Below are 12,670 nucleotides of genomic sequence, written 5' to 3'. Positions count from 1 at the left end.
ATGAAGATTTAGGACCAGGACTAAGAAGACTGGGTTGTGACCTTTGGGTTTGAGCTAATCACACAAACTCTTATGAAAAGTAGGGGTGATAGTTTTATCTTGTATGATAAATACACACATATTTTGCAGAGATATTGATATTCTTATTTTAATAATCACTAAATTCAGAGATGTTACATTGGCTTGAAAGCATATAACATCTATAATATTTTATAAATATATAGAATATAAAAATCTTGACTTTAATGAATTTTACTATTTAGAACCTATGCTCTTGTTAAGAATAAATGGATGTGACAAAGTTGGCAATCTCTAAATTACCTGAACCGATCACGTGAATTAGTTATAGAGAGCAATCTTTCCAGAAAGCATGACTTTCACATCTATACCACGCTATTCTATGAGGGTCTAGGTTGCTGGAAATGGCTTTAGTGGCAATTTCTTTAAGCACTTGAGGTTAATCTACTAGTATAATCAAGAACTCGTCTTTTGACACACAAATTGCCACACCGTAATGTGAATCAGGTATCTGCCTTCAGTCAGGACCATGGTCACCTGAAATGCTTGATCAAACTAGGGGGTATTTAATCGCTTCTTTTCTGGGCAGACAGCACATGGCTTTTGTAGGTTCTCAAAGGCTGGGAAACTTCCTTTGTAGATTATGTCCTTTGTCGCCACAAAATCCCTTTCATTGAGCTGTATTTTGTTCTTATTTTCTACCATGAACTTTAAATGCAGAAGTTCTCGTGAAACGATCACAGGGGTGCAAGGATTGTATATATTTATTTATTGGGGGAATTTTGCCTTCTAAAGTCGTGCCCAGTCTAAGGCCACACAGGAGGATTGCACTTGTCCTGCAGTGTTGGGGGCACTGCTCCGGGCGTCTCCAGGGCGCTCCCATCACAGTGCTCTCCTGCATGAAGGCTGCCCCTCACACTGCCCTTCTCTGACCTGGGACCCATCCTGGGCCACACAGGAGGATTGCACTTGTCCTGCAATGTTGGGGGCACTGCCCCGGGCGTCTCCAGGGCGCTCCCATCACAGTGCTCTCCTGCATGAAGGCTGCCCCTCACGCTGCCCTTCTCTGACCTGGGACCCATCCTGGGCCACACAGGAGGATTGCACTTGTCCTGCAGTGTTGGGGGCACTGCCCCGGGCGTCTCCAGGGGCTCCCATCACAGTGCTCTCCTGCATGAAGGCTGCCCCTCACGCTGCCCTTCTCCGACCTGGGGCCCACCTGGGCCACACAGGAGGATTGCACTTGTCCTGCAGTGTTGGGGGCACTGCTCCGGGCGTCTCTAGGGCGCTCCCATCACAGTGCTCTCCTGCATGAAGGCTGCCCCTCACGCTGCCCTTCTCTGACCTGGGACCCATCCTGGGCCACACAGGAGGATTGCACTTGTCCTGCAGTGTCAGGGGCGCTGCTTCTGGCATCTCCAGGGTGCACTCACATCAGGGTGCCCTCACTGCGTGCAAGCTGCACTGCACACTGCCGCTCTCTGCCCTGGGACCCATCCTGCACCACACAGGAGGATTGCATTTGTCCTGCATTGTCAGGGGCGCTGCTTCTGGCATCTCCAGGGCGTGCTCGCATCACGGTGCCCTCACTGCACGCAGGCTGCACCGCACACTGCCCCTCTCTGCCCTGGGATACATCCTGGGCCAAAGGGACGGAGACCTCCTTCTTCACAGGGCTTCCATCCTGTGTCTTCACCAGCTTTCACTCCAATGCGAGCCATGGGCATTTAGAAATGTATGACTGATTGCATTTCCTCCCTTGTTTTGGGTATCAGGAAGTTCTCCCACCTATTTATAACCAATCATCACCATTGTACGGGGTTCTACAGCCTGGATTTCTACAAATCCACTTTTCCTTTATTGCATTTCCCTTCCTCCTAACTTGTTTTATTTATATTTTGAAATCACTCTAAGTTCCCTTGAAAATGAAGCAACAAACAAAATCTAAAAGGAAAGCAACCTTGGTCAATTATTAACAGATGGTTTAAAGCGGGGTGTATATTTTTACTTAATGAAATACCTCACAATTCACTGTATCGGAGTGACTTCGAATGCATGTTACATTTACTTATTTCTCTTGGATTTTTGAATTATCTGGAATAAAGCCCCAAGTGAAACAACATGCTTCATGAAAATTCTGCAACTTTTGGGTAGATTTTTTTTTAAACAGCCGTACGGCAAACCTAGGTGTGTTGACTGCAGTTGGTCGGATGTAGGATTGGTTACATAATGTGTGAACCCACTGCAAAAGAAAAATGCAGCTTCACTTGCTGAAGACATTAAGAATTTCTTGCCCCCACCCCGGGGAGTTCTTTGTGACTGGAAGGCTCCCGTGCCCACCAAGTTGACCTTGTTCTTAGGAAGGTTCAAGTCACATTTTTCATGGAGTTTAATTTTCCTTTTTCAGTACAAGTTGTGGAAAGTGAATCTTGAGAGGACTATTTTACAGTGTGAGTGTGCAGACGGGTGTGACATTTTTCAATAGCTCAGTCTTCCACATGTGGAGCTGCAGGCAGGATGTTCACCCAGTCTGTGAGAGTGCGGCCACTGGGTTGCAGAGCGGGTGCCATTGCTCTGCTCTTAAACGACTGCTGCTGGTGACCCAGGGAACTCGATGCCAGGGTCTTCAAGCATCAGGGACACTAGGAGAACACCACACATTGTGAAAACGTGGCGGCATGACATTAATTCCATGTGTGAATTTCACACAGTCATTTAAATGGTTGGGTAGAAATGTCATCATCTGTGAACGGAGGGGAGGACTAGCCTGTTTCTAAAATCCAGCTCCCAAGGACTTCTTGGTGGTGTCGGTGAAGGAGAGAAGATCAGGTTGGGGGGTGGTGGGGCGGGGCTGGGCATGCAGTTTCCTGAAGCCCACAAGGATCCTGCCAGGGAGTGTGAGGAGCTCTGGTCAATAAGTACACTGAGGAGCCAACATGTGCTGCTTCTGCGTGGAGCCACTGACCGCATCTGTGGGCTCCTTACTCCCCTTTTTCCCCTGATGTGCTGGACTCTGGGTCATGTGTGGAGGTAGTGAAGCTGCAAGGTGAACCAGTGCTCATCATGGCCTAGAAGGAGGCAGCCTGAGCCACTGCCAGATGTCGAGCGGCCTCTGAATGATAAAACAAACCACCAAAACCGTTCTGTGTTGAACTGCTGTGATTTGGAGGTTCACTGGGGAGTTACTGGTTTGCACTGAACAGCCTGGTGGATTAGCTTCCCAGGGCTGCTGTAACAAATGACCACAAATTGGGTGACTTAAAACAACATACATTTATTATCTCACAGCTGTGAAGGCCAGAAGTCCCTCCAGGTGTGCGGGGGCTAGTCCCTTCTTAAGGACTCAGCGGGAGAATCTGTCCCATGCTTTGCTCCTAGCTTCCATGGGCTGTCAGGAGCCCTTGGCATCCTTTGGCTTGTAGACACAGCACTCCGACCTCTCCCTCCCTCTCCACGCGGGCTTTCCTCTCTATGCCTCTATGTCTCCAATCTCCCTCTCCTTTCTCCTGTACAAACAATAGTCATTGCCTTTAGAGTCCACCCCGGTCCTCTAGGATGATCTCTTCTTGAGATCCTTCATGTGATTACATCTGCAAAGACTCTATTTCCAAATAAGGGCGCATTCACCAACACCAGGCATTAGGAAATGAACGTACATATGAAGGGGCCACTCTTCAACCCATGCCCGTAGTTCGTCCTGACTGATTCAGGCCTATCCTCTGAACTAGCTCAGTTACCTCCTAAGCCTTTTCAGACTTCGGATTGAAAAAGAAACTTACATCTATGAGGTGGAAAGCCAGTGGGCCAAAGCTATTCGGGAGATGTATTATTTATAGAATTTGGAAGAAAAAAGAGCTAAGTTGGTGTAGGGGCAGGAAGGAGCTGCTCATCTTACATACTCGAAGGACAAGATTCTAATTGGCATTTGGCTGGAGACCTGGGTCTAAGGGCCAAGTGGGAGGGACTGGGTTCTTTTTTTTTTGAGACAGAGTCTTACTCTGTCACCCAGGCTGAAGTGCAGTGGCACATTCTCGTCTCACTGCAACCTCCGGGGAGGAGCTGGGTTCTTAAGAGTGTTTTTGAATTCTTATGGTCCTCGGAAAACCCTAGAAAAAGGGACAAAAAAGGGTCAAGTCTTCTACCAGTCCCTCCCATTCCAAGAATGACTGATGTCCTAACTTCACCTGACATTCTTGGGTGGAGAATTGTGATCTTTTTTATTCCAAAAATCTTTTATTCTAAGGAGTGTTACGGGTTGGTTAAATACATTTGCCAAAAAAAGCATAATAATAATATCTGAAAGAATCCACAAAAAAGAAAACTCCTGCAAACAAAAAGTGATTATAGGAAGACTGTAGAATACAAGATTGCAATATACAGAAGTCAATGGTAACTTACTCAAAAGCTATAGCAATCAAGCCAGTGTGATATTGGCTAAAGAAGAAACAAATAGATCAATGGCACGGAATAGAAAGCCCGGAAATGGACTCACACAAATAGAATCAACTGACCTCTGACCAAGAAGCAAAACCAATACAGTAGAGAAAAGATAGTCTTTTCAACAAATGGTGCTGGCACAACTGGACATCCCATGCAAAAGGAAAAAAAAAGAAAGATCTTACACCCTTTAAACATATTAACTCAAATACATCAGAGACCTAAATGTAAAATGAAAATCTATAAAATTCCTAGAAGATACAGAGGAGGAAATCTAGATGACCTTAGGTACGGCAATGACTTTTAAAATATACCACCAAAGGCAAGATCTGTAAAAAAATTAATAAGCCAGACTTCATTAAAATTAAAAACTTCTGCTATGTGGCAGATAATATCATGAGAATTAGGAGTAGTTTTTAATTTTGTTTTCTCATTGTTCAGATAGAGAGCTGGTGTCGAGAATATGCAAAGAACTTTTCATAGTGAACAATGAGAAAACAAAATTTATTTTTAAATGTGCAGGAGATCTCCTCACTAAAGAGGACATGCAGAGGGCAAAGCAACACATGAAAAGATGTTCCACATCATTGCTCTACCTCATACGTCATCAGAGAAGGACACAGTGAACAGCAATCAGGTTCATTAGCCACTACAGACCCGTTAGCATGGCCAGAATACAGAACACTGACAACGCCAGGTGCTGGTGAGGATGTGGAGCAGCAGGAACACTCATCCACTGCTGGTGGGAGATCAAAATGGCTCAGCCGCTTTGGAAGACAATTAGGCAGTTTCTCATAAAACTAAACACACTCTTAGCATGTGATCCAACAATTGCAGTCCTTGGCACTTACCTAAATAAGCTGAAAACTTGCTTCCACACAAAATCCTGTGTGAGCATGCTCATAGCAGCTTTATTCATCATTGCCAAAACTTGGAAGCCACCAAGATGCCCATCAATGGATGAATGGATAAACTGCAGTACACCCAGACAATGGGATATTCTTCTAGCTGAAAAAAGAAATGGGCTCTCAAGCCGTGAAAAAGGATGGAGAAGACTTAAATGCATGTCACTAAGTGAAGGATGGCAATCTGAAAAGCCTGCATACTATCTGATTCCAATTAAAGGGCATTCTGGAAAAAGTACAACTAGGGAGACAGTAAAAAGATCAGTGGTTGCCAGGGGTTGGGGGAAGGGAGGGGTGACTAGGAGGAGCACGGGGTTTTTAGGACAGCGATGTTTAGGGCACGTTGCATGATGTTACGGTGATGGATCTATATCGTTCTAAATTTGCCACACCCACAGGATAAGCAACCCCAAGAGTGGGCCCTCGTGTGAACTGTGGACTCTGGGGGGTGATGCTGTGTTCTGTTGGTTCATTGATTGTAACAGAGGCACCACCAAGTTGGGGACATTGATAGTGGGGGAGGCTGTACGTGTGCAGGGGCAGGGGTTAAATGGGAGCTCTCTATTACATTGAGCTTTCTGCTCAATTATTCTGTGAACTTAAAACTACTCTAAAAATAAGCCTATTAAATTTTTAAGGATCAGTAAGAATTTAGTGCCCATTACTCTAAAGAATGTGGTGTCATTGAAATACCGGCTTTTATTGTAAATCATAAAATACATAGGCAAAGAAGCAGGCATTGCCTTGTGCAGAAGAGCCCCTTCTGGGTAAAGTTCATCTGGATAGGTGCTTCCTAGGATCTCATTTTTATGTCTTATTTCCCCTAATCATAGGTTTTATGCCTCCAGATAAATCTTTTTCCATCTTTTTCTGTCTTGGCTTAAGTGTTGAATGTGGACCCAAATGTCATTTTCTCCATTTCCCAATTTCCCTTCGTCTTGGAAACAGATGATGGGCAGGCATTCTCCCACACGGTGGTTTCCTGCCTGGAAAGGTTACCCTCAGGCTTGGGACATTTGAACCCTGCATAAATAATAACTTGTAAACAAGTACTCTGCGGATAATTGCCCGAAAGCTGAACCAAGCCCTGGAGAGCCATGGCTCTCATTGCAATTTGTGCCCCTCGTTTTTCAATTTGAAAGAGCTTGTCAGATTTCCTGACACTCACACCAATGCCTCCTGGTTTCTGCTGCGGATACATTTTCATTATCCTTAATTGGTGTTAAGTACCAGCGCCCTGCCAATGATGCCTGTCACCGTGCTGGTCCGGTGTAAGTATCATTAGCTCGCCTGTTTACCCTCCCGATATGGAATAAGTTAGAAACATTACAGGAAGTGGGCTAAAAGCACTGATAACATATTTGCATTGTGTCAAATTGCCAGGCTTTGCACAAGCTAACAATTTATTTTCTCCCCATAACTGTGAATGGTACACATTTTGTGGCTTACACTGCAATTTTTGTTTAAAAGGCATTATTGCCTACAATCTCAGTTCATTTGCTGCGAGTCTGTAAATGGCCATCTTTCGTATCAAAAATTTCAGTATAAGTACTGATCGGCAGGTTAATATTATAGAAAGTACGCCCTGGGGGAGTATAAAAAGATGGTTGGATTTTAGAACCTAGTAAAATAATAGCTCTTTCCTCCAAAATGGGAATAGTTTAATCAGCAAAATGATTTCAGCAAATATGTCCCTTCCTGGCATGTCTGTTTACTTGAGTGATACTTCATCAAACTCTTACACTTTCTCATGGTGTACTTTTCTTTGTTTTGGACGTTCATATTAAATGTTATGTTGGTTTTCTAGAAACATAATGTGATTAGAAACATAATGTGACGTATCCTGCCTTGTGAATGAATGAAATAAACCTGCATATATTTGCAAGTAAAAAGCTCATCGTAGGTTCCCTTGAGTTCACCGTGAGGTAGCTCGTGGTGGAAACTCTCACAACGCAGTCTTCTAGGTACCAAACCCCATCCCTTAAGTGGGTTATGATAGCCCCTTTAATATGATTTAGTCAAAAAATTTACATAAAATGCCTTGTACATGGGATTTCCTCACATGGTCGTCATTCAAGTGATCAAATGGTGACAATGCTGATGGCTGCCAGCGACTCCAGGTCAGCCACCACCCAGAATGGGGGGCACATGTGTGCAGCCACCACCTAGCATGGGGGACGCGTGTGTGGCAGCCACCGCCCAGCATGGGGGACACATGTGTGGCAGCCCTGGCATAGCTCAGTAGGACTGGCACTGTTATCTCATTCTGCAGTCAGGAAAACCAGGGCTCAAAAGACTGATGGTGGCGCTTGAGGCTCTGGAGAAAGGCTGTGATGAACGAGGACCGGTCCCAGGCCTGCCGGGACATGCCCTGTATCCTGCCTTAACAGGCATTTCTCTACCCCTAGTGATTCTCCTCATCCATCGTAGAAAGAGGAACCCTGACGTGGGGTGAGGCAGGATCCCCTCCCCAAGTGGCGGGCTGTGTGAAGTGTGCGAGTTCTCACCCTGAACACACCCACCGCATTCCTGCCTTGCCCTCTGCCACACTAGCTGAGAGGGAGCTCTCAGAGGAGGAGGGCCACCTCCAGCAGCTATTAACCATGCCCTTCCAGGCAGGACGCTGAGGCTTGGCACAGGTTGCTGGCAGGAGGCAAGGAGTCAGTGCAAAAATAAAATAAAAAAAGGGAGTCCTTAGCAACGAGATCTCTGATAGTAATGGGTAACCCTGCCCTTGAAAATAAACTCAAAATTATTTCTGGAATCTTTTCAAAACAATTCAGTTGTTTATATTTTTGTCTGCTTAAATTGCAGGATCCTGACACACACACACATTCACCACACTGGACATACTTCACACGTACACTCATACACACAGGCGTACACACATGCATACATACACATGCACACACACCTTCACACTTCTTAACCCAGTATCCCCCAAAGTTAAGACTCCATGTCTTCTCTTCACTTTCCAGTAAAACTTTGTGAAAAAAAATTGGCCAACTTGCTAGTCTCCTATTCCTCTCCTCTCATTCTCTCTCATACCCTCTCCATCTTTTCTTTCCCCCTACCATTCTCACATGATCTTTCTTGAAAAAGTAATTAAAGTCTATTGCTGAATGCACACTTTGTCAGGCAAGACATCAAGATTTTCACAGGGAGCTCATCCCTTAATATTCTTAATAATATATAGATTGGGGATTGCTCTTAATGAATAATAAGAATAACACATATTGAGATGATTATGAATACCAAAATTCTTAATAATCTCATGTTATAAATGACGCACAGAAAGGTTAAGTAACTCTCCCAAAGTCACACCGCTAATTCAGTGCAAAGCCAAGAATTAACAAAGTCAAGGAGTCCAGCTCCAGATCCAGGGGTTGAAACCACTACTCCAGGCTGCCAGTCTGGTTCTCTCCAACAGCTGCTACATACCTCTTACAGATGTACTTTGTGACCGAAAAAAAAAAAAAAAAATAGTTACTACCAGGATTTTCTGAATCATGCTTGAATTAAAATATAAATAAAAGCAAAACATTATATATGAAACTCCCTTGACATTTTCTTGGAAATCATTCATAATAAACTCAAAATGTAATTTAGGAGAGAAAAAAGAATTTTTAGAAATTCTTTTTTCTAAAAGATGGTCTCCTTATTTAAGACTTTGTCGAATTTACTTGAAAAATAATTTTCCAAAATGTGTGCATCTCCATCAAACCAGAGCATCCACGTGACTCAACTAAAAGTTATTTTTTGCAAAAGAAAAGTGGTACAGGACAGCCCAATAATTTATATCATTCTATTATAAATTTATTTGAAAGACCCTATGACCATTAAATATTCCAGTTAAGCTGATACATGCTGTAAAATATATTGTTCTAGTTGTTTTCAAGGAGTAAAATGTTCCCAATTATGGAAGTTAAAAGCTAAAGGCATGTCGTTTAATATTTCAAAACTATCCTGGAGTATTTTAGATTATTTCAATGTTTTCCTGCTAGATATGTGAATACACATTCCTGATTATTTGCCTGTGAATTAACTCACAAAAAGAGATCCAATATAGGGAATTAATACAAACTGGTTACAACCACAGCATGTTATAGCTAGAAACGTTTTTCTCCTCTGAGGTTATTTTTCTTCATGTGAGGTTTCTGGTGCCTATTGATTGGGCGAAGAAGGTTGATGGGTAATTTAACCTCCCCTGGGCTGTGCTGGGCGTCAGTCCTTCCCCTGCCTCTTCCTTCTCCATCTGAATAGCTGATTGCCTCCCTTTATTATGTGGGCTGAGCCTGACTCCAGTATTTCACGCTTGCACTCATTTGCAGCCAAGAGTACCCCAGGAGGAAACCCTGCCCTTGTAATGATCTATTGGCAGGTAGAGGACGGCGTGCACATCATTACAAATTAAATATCTGTCTTGGAGACTCGGGGACAAGCACAGTGCCATGTTGCATGTTAAATCCAAGAGAAACTTTGGAAGAAAAAGTTCATGTTACAAATTGATTGACCATCACCAGGCCAAGTAAAGGCAGAAGCTCTCAATAGTCCTTACTGCCTTCTTACTGTTCTCTTCCTCCTTTTCTTCTGCAATAAGCTCTAAGGCATATTTAAAAATTTAATGGGCACACACAGTTGACTCTCACCTCTCCATACACACACACGTGCATGCACAGATCTGTAGAAAGCCCTAGGTTAGAGTTTCAACGCCAGTGTTGCTCCGATCAATCGATATTTCATCCCTGGTTTTCAGCTTTAGAAAACACCCCCAAAGGTGCCTCAGGACGTGAAGATAAACAACAGGAATTCCTCGTTTTTCTGGACAAGTCTTTTTCAAATGTGAAAAGTGTACAGGCACTTCATAATTAAAAAAATAAAATTCACTCTTTTGACATACAATGTAAATATATACTTATTTTTTACCATAAAAGAAAAGCAAGTTTAAAAATTCCATGTAAAAGGCCGTCTCTTCCTCCTCTCCTGTTATCCATCCCTGCACCCTGAGAGGACCTACGGGTAGTGAAACCCTGTAACCACCAGCAGACGTGGCGGTCTGACCAGTATCCTCTGACAGGAGCCAGGGGTCTTTGGAGAAATGGCTCATTTCTAGGGCTGGAGGAGTCCTCATTGTGCCAGAAAAAATGTAAGAGATCAATGATGAGGGAGGAACCTAGAGAGAGAGGAACCTAGAGAGAGAAGGAAGAAAAATCCGATTTCCGTGTAGGAGCCTGTAATTAACTGATGACTCGATGGGAAAAGCATAGGCAGGTTTCCCCTTCTCTTCAGGACTCTGCTTCCCGCAATTAGGGATGTGTAAGAATTTCTTTCTTGCACCGGATCGTACCTCCATGCCCTCCCAGAGGGCATAAGCACAAAATCTGGGGATTAAAACAACCTACGTTGTACAGACTTTTGCAGTTTGCCAGTGTCTTTCAAACACATGCTCTTATTTGATCCGGGGGTTACTGCATGTCTAAAACACACAGTGTGTGGCAAGGCTGAGATTCAAGCCCAGCTTCCATTTCCAGGCGCTGACACTATATTGCACAATGAAAAGCAATATTGCACTATGCAGCCATAATTATATGCAGGAATATACCTCTGCCAAGAAACCCTGCATTCTTGAATCAGATTTTAAGTAGTATTCAAAGTCACTTTAAGAATAAGTGAAACTCAATTAATTGACTATAATCTGCTTAAGAGGATTAGCATATCAAAAGAAAGAATGTGTCAATAAGAATTAACAGAAGTAAGCTGTGCTCATTCAAGTTGTCTGAGTGCCATGTGAGGATGGGACTTCGGTATTGTGTATTCCGTGTACAACCACCATGGAGGCCCAGACATGGGCCCAGCAGAACCTCAAGCTATTAAAACTTCAAGCCAAATGATTAACTCCCTTTGCTCTGATATCATGAAGAAATCATCCAATAATTTGACTTCATATGTAGCTCTTCTCCAGGGAAATGGTATGCCCATGAACCTCCAGTCCATAAGACAATTCTATTTCACATGAAAGATTAGCTAATAATATCTATGATTTCTGTACTTTGATCTTTGATTGAGGCCATGAGGACCTATCACGTTCTCCATTTGCCTGGCTTCAGCCTGCTCCTTCCTCAGAGCTGGTCAGACCTTTCCAATGTCTATGCTGACATCTGAGATTTTGGGAGACCGTTTGTGTTGCAGAATGATGGGAAACCTCGCAGGGAAGGTGAAGTTCGTTTTAACCACTTCATTTTACGAGATGTGGAGGAGGTTCTTAAAAGCACTGGTAAAAATAAATTGCTCAAGGTGGGAAAGACAGATTGTGTTTAGAATTATTGCAAGAGGGGAAAGAGATGTCCCTATAGGACAGAGCTCAATTCCCAAAACAAACAGGGTGGCTGGGTTTACAGCCAGCCAGCAGAGTGCAGGGGCAGGAGATGGGATCACTAGGTGAAGACCCTCAGGGTAGGGGATTCTCGGTAAAATGACCTAACAGGATTCTTTCTAAAGGCAGCCAAGGACTTAGGCATCATGGGTAGGGTATGAGGAAGTTGATTCCTTATTGAGGGTGGGGAATTCTTGGGAAAGTGACATATCAAGATTCCTGCTAAAACTGGGCTGGGAAGGCAGGACTGGGTCCCGGGAGAAGGCCAGGTGGGGAAGAGGCTCAGAGGAAGCTGTGGGACATTTGCTCAAGGAGAGTCTCTGTCAGGTCAGAGCCAACTGCAGGCTCTCTTAGCTCAGAATTCCAAGCCGTCCAGGAATTGGAATTCCTTTTACTTCTTTCTGCATGAGTTGATGAGGCTGACTCAGCCATCCCCCCTCAGGAGGGACACTAGGCCTTTCCCCATTTCACTGCCTGTGTCAATACATGTAAGCACACATCTTTACTTCTGTGCTGTTTCTTAAGATAAATTCCAAGAGAGGGGTTCGTGCATTCAGCACACGTGCAATCTTTGTGGTTCCCAGATTATCCGATAGACCTCTAGAAGAGGATGGCGCCAATTTAGAAGGCAAAATTAACCCCTTATGAGTGATTCAATGTCCTCTTGCCCTTATCATCCTTGTGTGTTATGATTTAAAACACCAATGGAGCAAGTACGAACATTTACTGCCGATTCACCTCATCTGCATTTCTTTAATTGCCGTGGATGATTCTGTTTCCCGTTTCATCTGTGTGAATTTTCTGAAGCCTTTTAAAATGGCCTAGGCATTTATTTTACTAAATTCCAGAGCACTCAGACATCAGCATGACCCGAGGCATAAATAGTGTGGTGCCTGCAAGATACATCACACAAGTGCAGTGACACTGCCGTTCCAGA

General features: G+C 43.8%; 2 annotated features.

Annotated features, from left to right (window-relative positions):
• Window positions 1,141-1,770: an enhancer, noted in NCBI's record as "H3K4me1 hESC enhancer chr10:2332433-2333062 (GRCh37/hg19 assembly coordinates)". NCBI's record gives its function as "activates a minimal SCP1, AML or CMV promoter by ChIP-STARR-seq in naive H9 embryonic stem cells {active_cell/tissue: H9 hESC(naive)}" and the evidence as "EXISTENCE:reporter gene assay evidence [ECO:0000049][PMID:30033119]".
• Window positions 10,831-11,506: an enhancer, noted in NCBI's record as "NANOG-H3K27ac hESC enhancer chr10:2322697-2323372 (GRCh37/hg19 assembly coordinates)". NCBI's record gives its function as "activates a minimal SCP1, AML or CMV promoter by ChIP-STARR-seq in primed H9 embryonic stem cells {active_cell/tissue: H9 hESC(primed)}" and the evidence as "EXISTENCE:reporter gene assay evidence [ECO:0000049][PMID:30033119]".

The sequence above is a fragment of the Homo sapiens genome, chromosome 10 (genome assembly GCF_000001405.40).
Source record: "Homo sapiens chromosome 10, GRCh38.p14 Primary Assembly".
NCBI lineage: Eukaryota > Metazoa > Chordata > Mammalia > Primates > Hominidae > Homo > Homo sapiens.
The sequence above is the reverse complement of the archived record's forward strand: the minus strand, read 5'-3'. Positions and strand labels throughout refer to the sequence as shown.